Source organism: Homo sapiens, chromosome 2 (assembly GCF_000001405.40).
Source record: "Homo sapiens chromosome 2, GRCh38.p14 Primary Assembly".
In the NCBI taxonomy this organism is placed as follows: Eukaryota; Metazoa; Chordata; class Mammalia; order Primates; family Hominidae; genus Homo; species Homo sapiens.
In genome coordinates, this window is record NC_000002.12 from 232727865 (window position 1) to 232748124 (window position 20260).

General features: G+C 39.4%; 1 protein-coding gene and 1 pseudogene across 8 annotated transcripts in view; one reads left to right on the forward strand and one right to left on the reverse strand.

The window, feature by feature from the left end:
* The window catches only part of GIGYF2 (GRB10 interacting GYF protein 2), a 163275-nt gene that overhangs the window by 30534 nt on the left and 112481 nt on the right, over nt 1–20260 (forward strand). For 3 of the 8 annotated variants that reach the window (NM_001103146.3, NM_001103147.2, NM_001103148.2), the window contains 2 exons: nt 7291–7374; nt 19751–19880. In NM_001103146.3, the coding sequence (NP_001096616.1) occupies nt 7334–7374; nt 19751–19880 (171 nt within the window). In that variant the 5' untranslated portion in view covers nt 7291–7333. Of the gene's footprint in view, nt 1–3257; nt 3371–6552; nt 6623–7290; nt 7375–7898; nt 8785–19750; nt 19881–20260 lie in introns of those variants that run through there. The other 5 variants (NM_015575.4, NR_103492.1, NR_103493.2 and 2 more) reach the window with 4 other exon arrangements.
* On the reverse strand, nt 1614–2412 carry EEF1B2P7 (eukaryotic translation elongation factor 1 beta 2 pseudogene 7; annotated as a pseudogene).

Consider the following 20260-nt stretch of genomic DNA (forward strand, 5'->3'; position numbering starts at 1 on the left):
CACTTACTTTGTTCAAAACCATCCTCGTTATCTGTCTCCCCAAATTCGTTTTTCTGTTTTCTGCTTCCTTTTAAGCTTTATAATACACATTTGAAAAATACCCGCAACATTGAGTCCTATAGATTCCATTCCATTTCTGTATCCTGTGTTTTAGATTTTCCCTTCCAGAGGGAGCAGTGCTTTTACTACTTTGGGAACTATTTTATGGAGTAGGTGTTTGAATAGATCCTTGGTTTTGTATGAGCCATTCTAAGGGAGGGAGGTCAGGCTTCTGGGGGAAGGGTATGTCATAGCACAACTAAAGAGGAAGGAAAATGCAGTGGACGGTAGAAAGTTCTCATTTGGCTTTGAGTTGGGAGGTGAAACAATAGGAGATTGAGTTGGGGAGGGAGGCATGGGTTGTCAGATTGACGATACATAGTAGGTTCGATTGGACTTTTTTAGAGGAGTGTAGGCCATGATCAGAAAGGTGCCTTAGGAAAATTGATCTTGAGGCCCAGTCAGGGAAGCAAATAAGAACTTTTGTTAGAATAATCCAGACATGCATTAATAGAGTTTGGACTATAATGAAAGAGGAATCTTGAAGAAGTAGGCTAAATTTGAGACAAAATGAATGGATATAAGGGATGGAGTAGAGAGAGTTTCAGATGATCTAGGCTTTTGAGACTGGCTGACCAGTAAACTGAAAACAGTAGTGCCTTGATGATATGATCAGTCAGTGATCCCATGCCACATTGGTCATGGGAGAAAAAAATCAAATTTGTAATTAATTGCAGGGGTGGGATCATCTCTCCCAGCTAGTGGCCGGTTACAAATTTGTGGGCAGATGTTTTAATTGCTGTTGTTAAAATGACACCCCTACTCTCTGCATGCCCTCTTTGCCATTCCGTAATTTAGAGGGAAATAAAGATGGGCAAAGAAATACCAGGATAGTGCTGGTAATGGAGGAAAAGGGAGGTCATAGTTTCAACAAAAAACAGTCTACAGAGGCAGGATAGCATGATGGAGCAGAGTGTCCAGAGTCTGGTTCAAATCCTGAATTGCTTTATAAACTCAGAGACCTTTCCTTTTCCTTTTCCTTTTCCTTTTCTCTTTCCTTTTCCCTTTCCCTTCTCTTTTTCTTTTCATTTTCCTTACTGGGTCTGGCTCTGTTGCCCAGGCTGGAGGGCAGTGGTGTGAACAAGGCTCACTGCAGTCTCGACCTCCTGGGCTCAAGCAGTCCTCCCACCTCAGCCTCCCAAGTAGCTTGGACTGCAGGAGCATACCACCACGCGTGACTAACTTTTGTATTTTGTGTAGAGATGAGGTTTTTGTCATGTTGTCCAGACTGTTCTTGAACTTCTGAGCTCAAGTGATCTGCATGCCTCAGCTTCCCAAAGTGCTGAGATTACAGGTGTGAGGCACTGCATCCGGCCTCCAGAGCTGTTTTCTAAAGGTTACAAGTCTTCTAGGCGTTTGAGCTGAAAACATTTGGATAGCTGGGGTTTAAATGTTGCCCTAAGCTGCTTTGAATCATAAAGAAGAATGAGCAGAACACTGTTCTGAGTAATGCAGGTCTCTTTATTTGATAATTAAATAACTTGGTTTATTATTTTTAGGTTTTTTTTTTTAATTAACCTCTCAAGCTTTTATTTAAATGCCATGACCCAGGATGGATTTTAGATTTTGTTGAAAGCAGCCACATCCATGGACTGCACATAGTCTTCAAAAGCAGTGATCTGCTTCTCCAGCTTATCTGTTCCAACTTTATCATCTTCAACTTCACAACGTATTTGAAGTTTCTTAATTCTGTATCCCACTTGAACTAGTTTAGATGAGCCCCAGACTAAGCCATCTGCTTGAATGCCTCTGATGCACTCCTCTAATTTTGCCATATCTGTCTTATCATCCCAAGGTTTCACATCTATAAGATGGAAGACTTGGCAACGAGTGCAGGTTTTTTGGCTTTCTTCGATTCATATTGTGGAAGGTGTTCTTCCCTTAGCCTCTTCGTTTCTTCACTTTTCTCCTCCCATCAGCTCCAAAGAGATCAATGTCATCATCATCTTTACTATCTTTAGCTCCTCTTCCTATAGTGTCTTCCATATCCACAGGACCATACTTGACCAAAGCCTTCTTCACTCCTGGAAGGCTGGCCTTTTCTTTTTCGTAAGACTTGATGTGATTATACCAACGAAGGGCATAACACAAGTCAGCAGGCGGTGGGCCAGATGCTGCTTCAAATACTGCCACATCTGCTTGTGATGGCACATACCCCTCGATGTAGCTCTTGTCCGCCAGGTAATTGTTGAGCACCTGGAGGCCGGCAGGGCTTTTCAGGTCTCTGAAATCCATGGCATCAGCTGTACCTGAGAGCTGAGGAGCAGCAGAAAGAGCTCAAGTTGTGGGCACCCTGTGCTGAAAGAGGAAAAAAATATTCTTAGGTTTTTAAGAGTTCTTCAGAAATCTTTACTTTAGGGGCCGGGTGCAGTGGCTCACGCCTGTAGTCCCAGCACTTTGGGAGGCCGAGGCAGGTGGATCATTTAAGGTTGGGAGTTCGAGACCAGCCTGGCCAACATGGTGAAACCCCGTCTCTACTGAAAATACAACAATTAGCTGGGTGTGGTGGTGCATGCATGTAATCCCAGCCACTCAGGAGGCTGAGGCAGGACAATCACTTGAACCTGGGAGACGAAGGTTGCAGTGAGCCAAGATCATGCCACTGCACTCCAGCCTGGGCAGTAGAGCGAGACTCAGTCTTAAAAAAAAAAAAGGCCGGGCGCGGTGGCTCACGCCTGTAATCCCAGCACTTTGGGAGGCCGAGGCGGGCGGATCACGAGGTCAGGAGATCGAGACCATCCCGGCTAAAATGGTGAAACCCCGTCTCTACTAAAAATACAAAAAATTAGCCGGGCGTAGTGGCGGGCGCCTGTAGTCCCAGCTACTTGGGAGGCTGAGGCAGGAGAATGGCGTGAACCCGGGAGGCGGAGCTTGCAGTGAGCCGAGATCCCGCCACTGCACTCCAGCCTGGGCGACAGAGCGAGACTCCGTCTCAAAAAAAAAAAAAAAAAAAAAAAAAGAAATCTTTACATTAGGAAATAATTTTCTTACAGAAACCATGTTGTAAATGGTAGTTGGGTTCCCAGCTCAAGACATTAAAAAATCTTCTGAGCTCTTAATGGTTGTACATTGTAGTAGTTTTGTAGTACTCAAAGATTTATAGGTGCAATGATAAAGTGGACCCAAACAGAATTTCCTTGCTTGTTGTTGTTCCTTAGATGCTGCTTGAATCTGGGGCTTCGTTTATATTTCAAGACTGCTGCCTGTAGGAGCTCCATCTGTATCATTTGTGTTAATAGTGACCCTGGAGTTTTGTACTTCCAGAACCTATGTGAGCATATGTGATGGCCTTGTAGTAAGTTAAAGGGGAAAAAATTAAATCACTAACAATGAATTTAGTATTTTCACAAATAGCAAATACTTTGAATTTTAGTTGAGATTTACCTGCTTTATAAATTCAGTCTGATTTAAATCCTGACTTGCTTTATAAATGCAGAGCCATTATTCAATGCTCTAAAATCCTCTACGGGTTTGAGTTTAAAACATTTGGCTAGATGGGGCTTAAAATGGTGGTAAAACCGCTCCTTCAGGATGTTTAGTATTAAAGAAAAACCTTACAATTGATGTGGTCTCTACAGCTCTAGTTGATGTAGTCTCTTCATCTCTGTTTGTCATCCAAGTAGGTCCACATACTTTTAGAAAACACACTGAATTGATTTATGTTACAAAAAGTCATAAGACTGTTGTGTAAGCAGTGATGCCTGTTTTAGTTTAACAGTGGGCACCTTTCCTGGGGTCTGATCATTGCTACCTTGACAAGTCATTCATTTGGAATGTACCATAATTTTAATTGAATCTAACATGTGTCAACTATAAGATTAATCATTTTGTGCATTACTGAGAAAGAAAGGAATACTGCCAAGAAGGCTCCGGCACATCTGGCACAGGCTTTTCTTGTTAGAATTATTTTATATTTTTTAAAAAAGCTCTGTTAAACTTATTTAGCAAATAAGAATGGATTTTTATTAAACAGTGTATCCTTCTATTGCATGTATGAAAATGAAAATAGAAGTAAAATAAATTTGTTAAGATAGTCGTAAGATTTCTGGGTATTTAGAGTCTGACTTTTCTAAATCACTTTTCAACTTGGCATCATAGAAGTCTCCTGCTTTCTTCCTCCCTCTCCCCACCAGTCATGCAAAGTATTGGTGATGCAGTAGTTAAGGGAATTCTCTATTACTCTGTCATCAATTTAAAATTTAGTCGTTTGATGCTTGTGAAGATTTTAAGAGCAATATAAGCTATTTAATTTTTAATCCCTTTTAGTACTTCAGGGCTGCTGCATGTGGTCATATGGGTTGTGCAGTGTCATCAGTATCGGTAGCAAACCATAACAGACTCCATTGGCTTGTGTGTTTTTCCCCCCTTTCTTTCTGAGGTCCTGTAAATCACTTGGAATCATTCTTTGAATGATGAATAGTTACTTCACTAATACTCCATGGCTGTATTTGCTTCTTTTCTGTTATACAATAAATTTAGTTTTGATACAGAATCATATTATTTTGAAGACATTTAAAACAGCGGTTTAAAAAATTGGCCCTTGTTCAGACAGCTGTAACACAACTCGCACCCAGCCAGTAGCAGTTGTAACTTGGCATCAGTTTTAAGATGCATTCTAATTTCAGAGAAATTAAAATGTTAAAAATAGTGTTTTCTTTTTTATTTTAATTTTTTTAATTTTTTTTTTTTTTAATTGAGACAAGGTCTTGCTCTGTTGCCCAGGCTGGAGTGCAGTGGTGCAATCACGACTCATTGTAGTCTCAAGCTCCACAGCATAAGTGATCCTCCCACCTCAGCTGGGACTACAGGCTCGCACCATCATGCCCAGCTAATTTTTATATATTTTTGTGGAGACAGGGTTTTGCCATGTTGCCCAGGCTGGTCTTGAACTTCCGGGCTCAAGCGATCCACCCACCTTGGCCTCCCAAAGTGCTGGGATTACAGGTATGAGCCACCATGCTCGGCAGTTATGTTTTCTTTGAATCACTAGTTGTTTTAAGAGATGAGGAGGGGCGGGGCGCAGTGGCTCACGCCTGTAATCCCAGCACTTTGGGAGACCTAGGCAGGCTGATCACGAGGTCAGGAGATCAAGACCATCCTGGCTAACATGGTGAAACCTTGTCTCTACTAAAAATACAAAAATATTAGCCGGGTGTGGTGGCACGTGCCTGTAGTCCCAGCTACTCGGGAGGCTGAGGCAGGAGAATGGTGTGAACCCGGGAGGCGGAGCTTACAGTGAGCCGTGATCGCGCCACTGTACTCCAGCCTGGGCGACAGAGCGAGACTCTTGTCTCAAAAAAAAAAAAAAAAAAAGTGATGAGGAGGGGACTAAGTTTACCTCAGTTTTAGTCTGGTTTGCACCTTTTGTGTGGTGGGGGAGCAGGGAGTCAGGGTCAAGTAAGAACAGGATAATCTCCCTTGGAGTCTGCTTGGTTGACACAGGGCTGGAAGTACCTTTCAGAAGGAAGGCAGATAAATGAATAGCTGATTATGAAGGTTAACACACTTTTACTTTGCTGTTTCTAAGCTTTAGACATATTTGTAGTTTATTATTTTTTAGATCATTTAAACAGAGGCAACAGGGTGATAAAGGGAGAGAATCCTTAACTTGGTCCCCAGTGCCGTGTGTGATGTATCTTAGAGATATTTTACAGTATACAGTTGTCCCTCAGTATCCATGGGGATTCATTCTAGGATGTCCTTCAGATGTTAAAATCCTTGGATGCTCAAGTCCCTAATGTAAAATGGCATAGTGTTTGCGTATAACCTATGTACATACTTCTATATACTTTAACACCTCTAGATTACTTATAATGCTTAATACAACATAAATGCTGTGTAAATAGTTGTTCTGCTGTATTGTTTAGGGAACAATGACAAGGAAAAGAAGTGTCTATACATGTTGGTACAGACGCAATTAAAAAATTTTTTTCCATCCGAGGTTGGTTGAATCCATGAACCAGAACCCATGGATATGGAGGGCCAGTTATATTTACAATTTTTATAGTATTTTCCATTTTTTTAAGCTCTCATATCTTAAGATTACTTTTGAAATGTCACTTGTGAAATTCATTAGTTTATTATTTTAACTTGACAATCTGAAGCAACTTTTAAAAAATTTATATTTTATTTATTTATTTTAAAACTTTTTTTTTTTTTTTTTTTTTAAAGAGATGGAGTCTCACTATGTTGCCCAATCCAGTCTTGAACTCCTGGGCCCAAGCCGTCTGCCTGGCTTGGCCTCCCAAATTATAAATTTATTTTTATTTGTTTATTTTGTAGAGACAGGGTCTCACTCCATCGTCTAGGCTGGAGTGCAGTGGCAGGACCACAACTCACTGCAGCCCCAAACTCCTGGGCTCAAGTGATCCCTCCACCTCACCCTCCCAGGCAGCTAAGACTACAGGCATGTACCACCATGCCCAGTTGATCTTTAACATTTCTTTTTTTTAGAGACCACGTCTCCACCTCCTGGGCTCCAACGATTCTCCCATCTTGGCCTCCCAAAGCGCTGGATTTACAGGTATGAGCCACCTTGCCTGGTGGTTCCTGGCCTGATCCAAGATAATTTTTAAAAGAAGCAGTAGGCTCGAGAGGCTGAGACAGGAAGATCACTTGAGGTCAGGCCAAGAGTTCGAGACCAGCTTGAGCAACATAGTGATACACACTGTCTGTTAAAAAAAAATCACTAGGGTGTAAAGTGCTAATAAGCAGAAGGTGAGGAGAGTTGTGGCAGAAGCTATGTGATAGGTAAGGAGGGTCCTTATTTTAATAATCTTTGATGTACCTCATGGTGATAGGGGAGTCATTACTAGGAAGTAATATGAACTAAAATGTAAATCTATTACCTTTCATTCACTCCCCATTGTTCCAGGGATAAAGGGAGAAAATCCTTAACTTAGTCTCCAATGCCCTGTGTGGTCTGTTCCTACCTCTCTCACTAGCTTCATCTTAAACTGTGCCTCCTTACCCCAGATTAACATAGAAAGGTGGGGAGTCAGAATATAAGGGTTGATTTATTCATTTCACTTTGCCTGCTATATTATTGTTTTAAGTAGGAATTTCAAAATCTCATTTTTGTGACTCTAGTTGAGAGGAGCATAAATAAAACACTCTCTAACTGTACTTTCTGGCCTGGAATTCCACATTTAATCTCAACTAATAGTATGGAGATATTTTTCTCGTTAACAGGTTTCTTCACATATAAAAATCTATTGTAAAAATACGGAAAAGAATGGCAGCGGAAACGCAGACACTGAACTTTGGGCCTGAATGGTGAGTTTTCAAAATCTCATCTTCTTTGATATTGGATGACTAATACAGTAGTAAAGTATTTGACAGGTGCTAGGTGGTTTATAAATGTGCATGTTTTTGAAACTTTTGCTTTATGTGCCTCGCTGAAAACAATGTGTTAGTTCAGGAATAAATTATATTTGGTAAATGAGTGTATTCTATACTTAATTAAAATTTTTTTTCTTTGTCTGGTTATATATGTAATGATGGCGGGAGTCCCACCCGCCCTAGAAAATTATTTTCTTTTTATTTGAGTCGTTGTCTAGGTGCACATACAATTTTATGTAAGTATAATTATAACATTTTTATGTCTGTATGTTTTCTGCTACATTGTTTTATCATTGCTGTTCATAGATTGATTTGAGAAATAGTTTTCATTGAAGTATTATTTGAAAGATGGGCTAGGCAGGTAGTTCAGTATTATACTGGCTGTTAACAGTAGCCTATCTAGGATTCAGTTAGCATTGGACATAATAACGATTAATTGACCTTTGAGTCTCTTACAGATGTGTTTGGACCCCGAATATGGAATTCTCATGGAATTTTGAGATCCATCACATTGTAGTGTGGCTTCCCCCCCTCCCCTCCTTCCTTTTTCCCCAAAGTTGGTGATTGAAGATCCTCTCTTCAGTGGCATCAATAATAATAATTACTTTTTCTATTCAAACCTCGGGCAACCCCTTTGGTAATATCAGAAGTAGTATCTAAAATAGATAAATTGGATTTGTGTCTTAAACTCTTGGTTGTTCAGGTGGGAGTGGTTCAATAAATGATGCAGACTTCCTGTAGTAACTCTATTTGAGGAGTCTTATTAACTTATCCTATTAGAAATATTTCTTTTTATTAATATATGTAATCTCGAAGTTTTCTTAACCTTTATAGCCAGCATTTGGAGACTGAGGAGAAATCACTATTTGAAGTTCTAAGAACCGATGGAACTCCTGTATTTTGAGAGTTTATTTAGAACATGTTAACCTAAGTAATGCTGTACTTGTTTTAGTTATTCCTTTATATTTTTAAAATGATTTTCTTAGTATCAAATTAATATGTTTCTAAAAAAATTAGAAATAACTAGTAAGCCAGAAATAATTTCAACATCCATGGTACACACTGTAAATACCTTGGTGTATCTTTCCAGGTGGTTTTATGTATGCTTATTTGTGTATATATACACTTATTTTTTACAAAAATGGGATCATACTGTACCTTCAGTTTTGTAGCCTGCTTAAAGAAATAACCAAATCAGAAACATCTTTTTTTAATCAATAAATATTTTCTGTTGTATTAAATGGTTGCATTGTATGGATGTACCATCATTTATTCAACTAGTCTTCTAGATGTGACATATAGAAGCTGTTCTTGATTTTTCATTATAAAAATATTTTTAATGAACATTCTTATAGTTACATCTTTATTTCTACCTTAATTCCTTTTATCAGGTGGATTTAAATTCATATAAGTTACTTTCTTAGCCATTTTTTGTGCAACTCATCCGCCTTTATCTAGAATTTGTAACTGCTTCTCTTTTATATTTACATACCCTCATGTCTGTTTCTTTATAAAAACATGGTTTAAATTGTCAGCTAATTTAAGGAAGTTGTTTTTTTCAGCATCCTGCTGTTTATAGGTAACAGAAAGGGAACACCAGGAATTTAGACACAACAACAGAGAAAAGAAAAACTGATGATATTTTAGAATCAATACACATTTAGCTTGATGCCTAATATTATGGGTTGGCAAACTATGGCCTGTGGGACTGTAAAGTTTTTGTAAGTAAAGTTTCATTGAAAGACAGAGACGTCCATTTGCTTCCATATTTTCTGACTGCTTTCATGCTACAGTGGCAGGGTTGACAGGCCATTTGGTTCACAGAGCCTAAACATTAATTCTCTGGCCCTTTGGAGAGACAGTTTGCTGGCCCCTGCCCTACACCATGAGTTCTCAAGGTCATCTCAGTGTAGTATTGAGCATCTTTCAATAGTATCTTACACATCCTCCTTTTTATTGATACTCTGAAGTTTTGTTTGATGGTATTTCACTTGATTGGCTCAGTGTTTTGTATAAAATTTGAATTGAGGTAGCCTTAAACAGAGGGCAATCACCATTTCCATCCTTAAACAGTAGCCTCACCTAATTGTACATCTGTACAATTGCAGACATTAGAGCTTAGGAGCATTCCCTTAGTCATCTGAAATGCTGATGCACTGAGGAATGCAGGTGTAAGTAGGCATAGTGCCCTATTTGTATCATCTGTCAAAATTCCTTCTGGCAAAGGGAGTATATGAGGCCCTTAAGTAACCCAAGTAATCCTGAGCTGGAAAGTTGCAGTAGGAGTAGAGAGTACTACCTAATTTTTCTTCACGTATGACGTTCTTTGTGAAACTTGAGGTAAAGAGCTGTGCCCAGGGTACTTGAGAATCAGGATTTAGATTGTTAACATCGAACCAGTGTGCAATTAACTCTAAATGAGACAGAAGCACTAAGTGATACGGTGTTTATTAAGGTCATCATTTTTGTGAATAATGTAAAACATGTTCAATAAGGGATACTTAAAAATGAAGCAATTTATTTGTATCTGGGGACAATTGTGAAGATGGGAGAAAATTGAAAATTTTGGTAGGAACAGACCATGAGTGGCTGTAAGCTTTAACTTTTTTTTTTTTTTTTTTTTTTTGAGATGGAGTCAGCCTCGCTCTGTCGCCCAGGCTGGAGTGCAGTGGCATGATCTCAGCTCACTGCAACCTCTGCCTCCAGGGTTCAAGTGATTCTTCTCCCTCAACCTCCTGAGTAGCTGAGATTACAGGCACCCACCACCACGCCCAGCTGATTTTTATAATTTTAGTAGAGACGGGGTTTCACCATGTTGGCCAGGCTGGTCTCGAACTCCTGACCTCAGGTGATCCGTCTACCTTGTCCTCCCAAAGTGCTGGGAGTGCAAGCATGAGCCACTGCGCCCGGCCAAGGCTTGAACTTTTTAAGGTCTGTGGAATCATTAGGTCTTAGATTATTTTTCTACTTAGAATAAAAAAGTATATTGCATTATCATCAGAGCAGTTTAAAAGGGTATGATACATTCAATGCCAAGTATATCCTGTCTACATATAAAGCAATAGTGTCTTTCTTTAAGCCTTTCCTCAAATGCTGCCACCTTAGACCTTTCCTGACAATCTATATAACCCTCCACCCTTTACTCCCTATCTCTCTTCCTTGCTTAATTTTTCTTCATGTTGTGTATCAAAATGTAACATGACAAATATTTTACATATTTATTTTATTGTCTATATCCTGTCTTTCAACCCCCACTAGACTGTGAGCTCCATTGAGGGCAGGTACTTTGATATAGATTTTTGTACAGTTTGTTTACTGCTGTATCTCCAGTGCCTGGCACATAGGTACTGAATAAATATTTATTAAATGGATGAATGAATTGTTGGAAAGTAAAGTTGTTTTTAATGTTTTGCTATTGTAAATGATATGTATATATACCCTTGAACAATTTTGTTTTTATCACTGATCATTTTATTTGGATTAATTTCTTGGAAGTGGAATTATTAAATCAAAAGTTTTATTTTTAAGGCTTTGGATGATATATGGACAGTTTGACCACTAGAAGGATTTTATGAATTGAATTGTCATCTCCTGTGTGTTTGCTCTTGACAAAACACTAAGCACCGTCTTGATAATTTTTTTGGTGCTAAACTCCTTAGATTTAGGTCTTTTAGAGTTTTTTTGTTGTTAGTTTCATTAACAAAATAAACACACTTATTCTAGAAAATCTGGAGGAAACAGTACAAGAGGAAAAAGAAAAGGGTTAGGTATGGGCTGGGCGTGGTGGCTCATGCCTGTAATCCCAGCACTTTGGGAGGCCGAGGTGGGCAGATCACCTGAGGTCAGGAGTTTGAGACCAGCCTGGCCAACATGATGAAACCCCACCTCTACTAAAAATACAAAGTTAGCCGGGCGTGGTGGATTGTGCCTGTAATTCTAGCTACTCAAGAGGCTGAGACAGGAGAATCGTTTGAACCCAGGAGGCGGAAGTTGCAGTGAGCCGAAATTGTGCCATTGCGCTCCAGTCTGGACAACAAGCCTGGGCAACAAAAGCAAACCCCCCCCCCCCCGCAAAAAAAAAGAAAAGGGTTAGGCATGGTGGCTGGCCCCAGGCTCCCAGCACTTTGGGAGGCAGAGGCATGAGGATCACTTGAGCCCAGAAGTTCGAAACAAGCCTCGGCAACACAGTGAGATCCTCTTCTCTACAAAAAAAATTAAAAAAAAATTAGCTGGGCGTGGTGGTGCATATGTTTGGTGTCAGCTACTTGGAAGGCTGAAGTGAGAGGATCACTTGAGCCTGGGAGGTCAAGGCTGCCATGACTGCGCTGCTGCACTCCAGCCTGGGTGATAGAGCAAGACCCTGTCTCCCAAAAAGGAAAAGAAAACAAAAAGACCACCAAAGGGGAAAGATCTAAGTTACCCTAATCCTACCACCCAAAGTAGCTTTGCTAACGTTTTGGTTTCTATCGTATATGCAAATGTATCTTCAAGATATTTAAAAAACAAATATTTAGGCCGGGCGCGGTGGCACATGCCTGTAATCCCAGCACTTTGGGAGGCCGAGGCGGGTGGATCACTTGAGGTCAAGAGTTTGAGACCAGTCTGGCCAACATGGTGAAACCCCATCTCTGCTAAAAAAAAAAAAAAAAAAAAAATTACAAAAATTAGCTGGGCATGGTGGTGTGTGCCTGTAATCTTGGCTACTGGGGAGGCTGAGGCAGGAGAATTACTTGAACACGGGAGGTGGAGGTTGCAGTGAGCTGAGATCATGTCACTGCACTCCATCCTGAGTGACAAAGTGCTACTCTGTTTCAAGCAAACGAACGAATATTTGGTGATTTAAAACACTTTTGAGGATCAAAAATCTATTCAGTCGAGTGTGGTGGCATGCACCTGTAGTCCCAGCTACTGAGAGTCTGAGGCTGGAGGATTGCTCGGGCCTAGGCATTTGAGACCAACCTGGGACAACATAGTGAGAACCCGTCTTTAGAAACAAAAAACAAAAAGAAGACTACCCAGATAAGTCTAGATAAGGACTTTATTATAGGGAGAATAATTATAGACATTACCTGGCTTTCTGGGAAGGAGCCAAGAAAGCTCCTTTGGGAGTTTCCTCTGTCTCATCTCCTTGGTCTTAAGGAAGTTTTCCCAGGTCTTTCCTTGCAAAGAAGAGGGAAGTACTTGTTTTCTTCCCCAAAGTATTTTATTTATACATTTGTTAAAATAGTTATGGCCTTGTGGTGTATCTGTATATATATTTGCGCCTTGCCCAAGAAGAGCTAATTCCATTAAGAAATGCACTGTATTTCTCTCTTTTGGTAAGCCCATTGTTGAGCTTAGTGTACTGGACATTGGCATTAATATTTAGTTAACTAATTTAGTTAATAAATGAATGTTGAATGAAGCCATTAGGGTCTTATGGGAGACGGGTAAGAGAATGCAAACCTGAGATTGATAGCTTCCTATCGATAATTATGGGATTATGTGAAAAAGGAGAGAAGTTCTGGAGGATGAGATGTGTTAATATTTCCAGTTTTCAGAAAGGGTAAAATATTTCTATGTAAACTGAAGGAGTAGTAAATTAGATGTTTTTGAGGGGTGTATTTTGGAAGCAAATATTTGTTCAGAAAACATTTTATCAAATGCTTGCTGTGTTTTATGTCTTGGGTTAGGTGCTAAGGCAATAAGGATAAAAATACATGGTACCTACTCTTTAATGGGGAAGCTGACACTAAATAATTTCACTTTGTCATAATGCTGTAAAGGAATTATAATGCAAGCACGGGATATTCAGCTGCCTATCTGATTTTTCCACTTAGATGTCTTATAAGCATCTCATACTCTATACTTTTCCAAAACTGATCTCGTTAGTTTTGCCTTTATATTTATTTCATCTTAATAGTATATGTGCCTGTTTGCTCAAGCTAGCAGTCTCAGAGTTATCTTTGATAATTCCTTTTACTTCTCTGTTCCTATATCGGGTCTGTCACAACATGTCAATTTTATCTCTACAGTATCTCTGGAATCTGTTCATTTCTCTGAATCTCTATTGCTATCACCTTAGTGAAAGTTGCCACCATTTCTAACATAAATTTTTGCACCAGTGGCCTACTGATGTTTCCTGGCTTCCTTTTTTTTTTTTCTTTTTTTTTGTTTGAAATGGAATCTCACTCTGTCACCCAAGCTGCGGTGCAGTGGTGTGATCTCGGCTCACTGCAACTTCTGCTTCCTGAGTTCAAGCGATTCTCCTGCTTCAGGCTCCCAAGTAGCTGGGACTATAGGCATGCATCACCACGCCTGACTAATACTTGTATTTTTTAGTAGAGATGGAGCTTTACCATATTGGCCAGGCTGGTCTTGAATTCCTGACCTCAAGTGATCTGCCCTCCTTGGCCTCCTACAGTGTTGGGATTACAGATGTGAGCCACTGTGCCTGGCCCCTGGCTTCCATTTTTGTCTTCTATTTGTTTTCCTCACAGCAGGCAGAGTAATCTTAAAATGTAAATTAGATCAAGACTTCTCTAAAATCCTTCAATATCTCTATGTCCACTTATATGACTTTATTATATTCTTCTACTAGCCTCTTAGTTTCATGAAGGCTGGACAGGAACTTGTGTTTAGCAAGGCCTTGAGGATCTCAAATTCTCTTTTTCCCTCCCTTCCTCCGACTCTCTTTCCAGCTCTCCTTATTCTTCCTTTCTCCTTCCCACTTAACATCTCCTTCCTAGCACCTCTCTCTACCCTGTTGGTGAAAAAGATTAGGAAGAATATTCCTGATAGCAGAAAGGACGTGTGTGAACATAAGGCAAGGAACTGATTTAAGAGAGGAACTTCATGATGCATAATGTTTACCTTTATTATGTGAAGTGTGGGAGATAAGAGCTTGGAGGCAGCCCTTCTGTTAACAAGGCTTGGGTTTTATTGGTCATTGTGTGCCAGTGAAAAAAGAATTGGGGCTGGGCGCAGTGGCTCACCCCTATAATCCCAACACTTTGGGAGACTGAGGCGGGTGGATCACCTGAGGTCAGGAGTTCAAGACCAGCCTGACAAATATGGGGAAACCCCATCTCTACTAAAAATACAAAAATTAGCCAGGTGTGGTGGCGTGTGCCTGTAATCCCAACTACGCAGGAGGCTGAGGCAGGAGAACTGCTTAAACCTGGGAGGTGGAGGTTGCAGTGAGCTGAGCTGAGCTGAGATAGTGCCACTGCACTCCAGCCTGGGTAACAGAGTGAGCCTCTGTCTCAAAAATAAATAAATAAATAAATAGTTCTTAGTAACGTAGGAGATTAAGACTAGTAAAATCGTTCAGGATGCATTTGCAGCAGTCCAGGTGGGAAATAAAAGTGTGAATAAAAATTAGGTTAGTTGGATCAGGGGAAGACTTGAGAGACTGAGGATTTAAAACTAATAGGACATGGTAATTGGGTATGAGAGATGGTAGAAGGTGAGGAGTAAAGTATGAATCCCAGATTTTTAATCCAGTGGCTGATTAGATTGGGATGTCCTTAACTATGTTTGAGAATATGGGCAGTGAATGGGTTGGATGAATAAGTTGATGAGTAGGGTTAGGGTTTTGGGCATATTGAACCTGATGGGCTTTACATGGTTGTGTATGAAAGCCTGACTATAGGAGAGGTCACAGCTGGACTTGAGAATCACAAGCTTACATAGAAGTGCCTTTTGACTCCCACACCTTCACACATTGTTTATTGACTATCCAAATTGCTTTCATAAGCTGAAGTTTGGATTTTGGACAACACTTACCAAGCGAAGATTTTGGGAGTATCATGGGGCTTTGGGGGGCCTGCTGCTGCCACTTATTTACTACCCATGGTAGAATTGGCAGTGTTGAGGTTATTGATGAACAGTGCAGGAGCTAGTGGAGTGGCAGGAGAAACCAGGCACACTGCGTTTTGAAGTGACTGAGAAGCGAGGAAGTAGAGATGTTTCTAGATGAAGAGGAAAGATGAACAGTGCATAGCTAGAAGGGAAATGGCTGTATCAAAAGTTTTAAACAAATGAGGAGATATGTTTAGAGACAGACGAAAGCACATAGGGATTAAATTTCTAGAAGAGAGGGTTGTATGGAGGAGATAAAGATCATATGTGGATTTTTTTAACTTTTAGGTTCGGGGGTACATGTGAAGGTTATGTAGGTAAACTTGTGTCAATGGGGGTTTGTTGTACAGATTATTTCATCACCCAAGTGTTACACCGAGTACCCAGTGGTTTTTCGTGCTCCTCTCCCTCCTCCTGCCTTCCACCCCCAAGTAGACCCCAGTGTCTATCATTCCCTTCTTTGTGTTCATGAGTTCTCAGGTGGATTTTTAGTGAAGAATATTACCCAAATATGTTTTAGCTTTTCTAAGTATCTGCAGGTGAAGAGGGACTTGGAATTGAATTTGTCGATTATTGAATCATAGTACAGCCATTATCCTAACTCAGGCAACTGTCTTTTAGTTTGAGTTACTGCCAGTTTGCCTCAGTTTCTTTTCATAGCACCTGAAGGAAATCTCTGATTGTGTTATTGTGTTATTTTTGTATTTTTTATTTTTTGGAGACAGAGTCTCACTCTCAGCCAAGGTGGAATGCAGTGTTGCGATCATGGCTCACTGCAGCCTCTACCTCCTGAGGCTCAAGCGATCTTCCCACCTCAGCCTTCCAAATAGCTGGGACTACAGGCGTGCACCACCATGCTCTGCTAATTTTTTTTATTTTTGGAGAGACAGGATCTCACTGTGTTGCCTGGACTGGTCTCAAACTCCTGGTCTCAAGTGATCCACCTGCCTCAACCTCCCAAAGTGCTGGGATTACAAGCATGGGCTACTGCACCTGGCCTGTGTTACTCTTAATAAATCTGGTGACTATAAGAAATGTTTAGTCTTGGGCATTGGAAAACCATTGGTGATCCATTGGAAGGGACAGGGTGGTGAATACATTTGAAATCTTATTGTGAGCAGCAATTGAAGAAATTAGGAATGTTAGGCCATGAGAAGGAGTCTTTGGGGAGACATGGTGATTATTTGCCAATACCAGAATGATTTTCATTTGAAAGAGTGCTTAGATGTGTACTCCAGTGGTAGAAACTGTTGGGAAACATGTTGGTTTGGTGTTAAGGAAGATATTTTAAAACAAGTTCTAATAAAATATATGTATATTTTAAACTGGCTATTTTAAATAGGATTTTGAGACCTAATTGTTGGAAAGATTGTGTTTTTTTTTCTTTCTTTCTTTCTTTCTTTTTTTTTTTGAGACAGGGTCTTGCTTTGTCACCTAGGCTGGAGTGCAGTGGCTGTTCACTGCAGCCTTGACCTCCCAGGCTCGAGCAGTCCTCCCACCTCAGCCTCCTGAGTAGCTGGGACCAGAGGCATGAGCCACCATACCTGGCTAATTTTTGTATTTTTTGTCAAGATGGGGTTTCATCGTGTTGCCCAGGCTGGTCTTGAACTCTTGTACTGAAGTGATCCACACTCCTTAGCTTCCCAAGTGTTGGGATTACAAGTGTGAGCTAACCTGCAACCGGTCAATTGTGGTCTTTTTAGTAATAAAAACCTAGGTTTGAATCTTTGTTCTGCTGCCCGTGACTGTGGACAAGTTGTTTAACCCTTCAGCTTTATTTTTATCTGTTATGTTTGGGTTGTTGTGAAGGTTAAATTAGATTAAATGAGCTAGTTCACGTGTGAAATTTTCAGCTTCAGTGTTCAGTGGATATTAATTCCACTTCTTCAGTAAAGAGCCCAACTTTACAGGAATCTAATAAAAAGCAGTTTCTTGGAAGGTACTGGGGTAGTTCCTTTCTTCTTGGAAGGAGTGATTGGACCATTCCTTTGTGGGTATGTTGTTTGCTTACCTGGTTGTTTAACTTGTTTTATGGGGGTTGAACTAAATGACCTCCAAGCCCAAGAATATTTGCAAAGGAAACAGAGTAGCAGTGAGCAGTCCCAGAACCCAGGTTGTGGTATTTCTATAAATGAAAGTGAATCCAGGGCTCCCTGGAAATGATTGATTTCAGGTCTGAGGCAAGAAAAATACAAGATGAACCTGGAACATTCTGACATACCAGATAGAAAAGAAGCTGTTGAAGACTGCTAGGGTCATGTCAAAAGGACCCAGGAGCCAACCTGAAGAGTCTCCCACTCTTCAAAGATGAGACAGTTTGAACACTGTTAATAATTGCTGTGAATTGAAATATATTAATAAAATAATGTGTTACTGTTGGACACTGTTGGAAGGTGCAAGTGAACCTAGTCGTTATTTTGAAAACAAATAAGAATTAAGGCTTTTTCCCTCCTTTCTTGTATTAAGCAGTATTATTTGGTAACTATACCAGGTAGTATAAGAGGAAAATTTATCTTTGCAGAAGTATTCCAGCTAATACATAAGGGAGGAATGAAAGAATATAATCACTTACAACCTTAGTGAACTTAGGGAACCAAGCATTGATCATAAATTACTGCAAGTATCACAAACACGTCATCACAATGTGTGCCTCTTGATGGAATAACATACCACTACATACGAAGTATTGCCAAAAAAGAACCCAAATTGATGAAAATCTCAAAATCTCTATACTCAGTCACCAGTTTACATGAAATGCAAAAGACAGAAAAATGTTTAATTATATCATGGATAAAATCAGCAAAACCCAGACTTTAAAAAAATGTTTTGGGTCAGGCATGGTGGCTCATGCCTGTAATCTCAGCACTTCGAGAGGCCAAGGTGGGAGGATTGCTTGAGGCCCAGAGTTTGAGACTAGGTTGGGCAATATAGTGAGACCCTGTCTCTACAGAAAATACAAAAATTACACGGGAGTTTGTCATCTGCTTTTTGGTGCATTTATGAAAATACAAAAAATTTTCCACAATAAGTAAAAAAAAAAAATCCCACCCCAACAGTCTCACTTTACTAATGCATATTTTTTCTTTAAATATTACTTTATTCTTGTAAACACATTTTACTGTTTACTATGCATACGCTATTTTTAATAATGTGCACATATTTACTGTGTTTTACTTGGCCTTCATATTAATATTTAATGTGTCATAATTTAGTAGATTATTCCCTTCTTTTTTGCTTTGTGAATAAAGCTTAGCAGTTTTGGGCACATATTTCAATGCTTCTATTGAATTTTTCCTTAGTCTAAACTAGAATTAAAGTAGCTTGGTCCCTTTCATGCTTGATATCAGCTACTCCTGATGTTAGTTTTTCCACTTGCTGTCTGACACAGTGCTACAGTAGAATCTTACTCGCCATTTTTTGCTGAAGTTTTCTTCCCTTTTTCCCCATAAAAATATATTATTTTAAAATTAAACAAAATAGTCCCTTTTCCCCAAGTTCTGTTCTTTAGAGGCAACTTTTCTTATCAGTTTGGAGTATATTTTTTATTTGTCTTCTTAGCAGTACATGTAGTTTTCAATTTCTCTTTGTACTTTACTGCATTTTCAGATTCTCTACACTGACCATTAATTGCTTTTATTAAAAACGTTGTGAAATATTTCAGGCATATAAAAATATAAATTGTGATAAACACCCATGTATTCATTGGCAAGCTACAAAAATAAAACATTGTAGGTACAATTAAAGCTGCCTTTATAATCTTAATCTTTTGCAGATATAACCTTATTCTAAATGTTGTATTTGTCAATTTCATGTTTGTTTCTATGCTTTTGCTGCAGTTTGTATGTCTTGAAACAGTATAAACCTAGCTGCAGGTTTATGCATTTTATATAAAAATTATCATTACTATAGGCTGTGTTTTGATTTTTCTTTTGTATAGCATACTTTATTAAATATTTTAGCTATTACCAAATTGCCAAATAGATAATTAAATAATTAGCTATTATCAAATCATTCTTTGAAGTGATTATTTCAGTTTATAATACCACAAACACTACTTGAAAGTTTCCATTGTTTTACATCCTTACCAACACCTGGTATTATCAGACTTATTAAGTTTTATGAATCTAGTGAGTGTAAGGTAGTATCTCACTTTTGTTTTAATCATATGCGCCTTTTAAAATTTGGAAAAATGTGTCCCTTTTTCATTCTCTAAGCTTCTGGGGGACATAGCCGTGATGCCTTTTAAGTTAAGGAATTGCCACATGGTTGTCTAGTTATCTCTCAATAAACTGCCCTTTTAGCGTGCCATGACAAAAGATTGTATTAAAGCTAAAGTCTGATACTTTGAGATAGTAGGATTTCTTTTTGCTCTTCTAAAGAACTAAAATGAATTTTTTTTGACAGTGTATAGTATAAAAAGTCTGTAGCACCAGAATGTTTGACATATTCTCTGTCTTTTCTATTCTAGGCTCCGAGCTCTGTCCAGTGGTGGGAGTATTACATCCCCTCCTCTTTCTCCAGCATTGCCGAAGTATAAATTAGCAGATTATCGTTACGGCAGAGAAGAAATGTTAGCACTTTTCCTTAAAGACAACAAGGTAAGAAAGTAGGAAAAGAGTTCAAAATTGTGAATGAGACTTTGGGATATATACCATGATGTACTGATACATGAAAACTGATTTATTTTACTAATGTATTGACCCATGCCTTTCCACCTTAACTGTTTCCCTGCTTTGAAGCCTGCAATAGTTAACAGAGGATCTTCTAAGTGTTATCACACACTATATTTTAGGCAGCTTCATGGAAACAGGAGAGTAGTCAGCACTTACTGCCTTCTCTAGCTAACTTCCTCTTAACCCCCCTTTCATGTCTATTTGTATCCTAGTTCAGTGGCTAAGAAATGAAGAATTTTTCCTTTCTCTTTATTGTACCTCTTATCCTACTTGCCACTTAAAAATAAAGAGCCAACAGGAGGAGC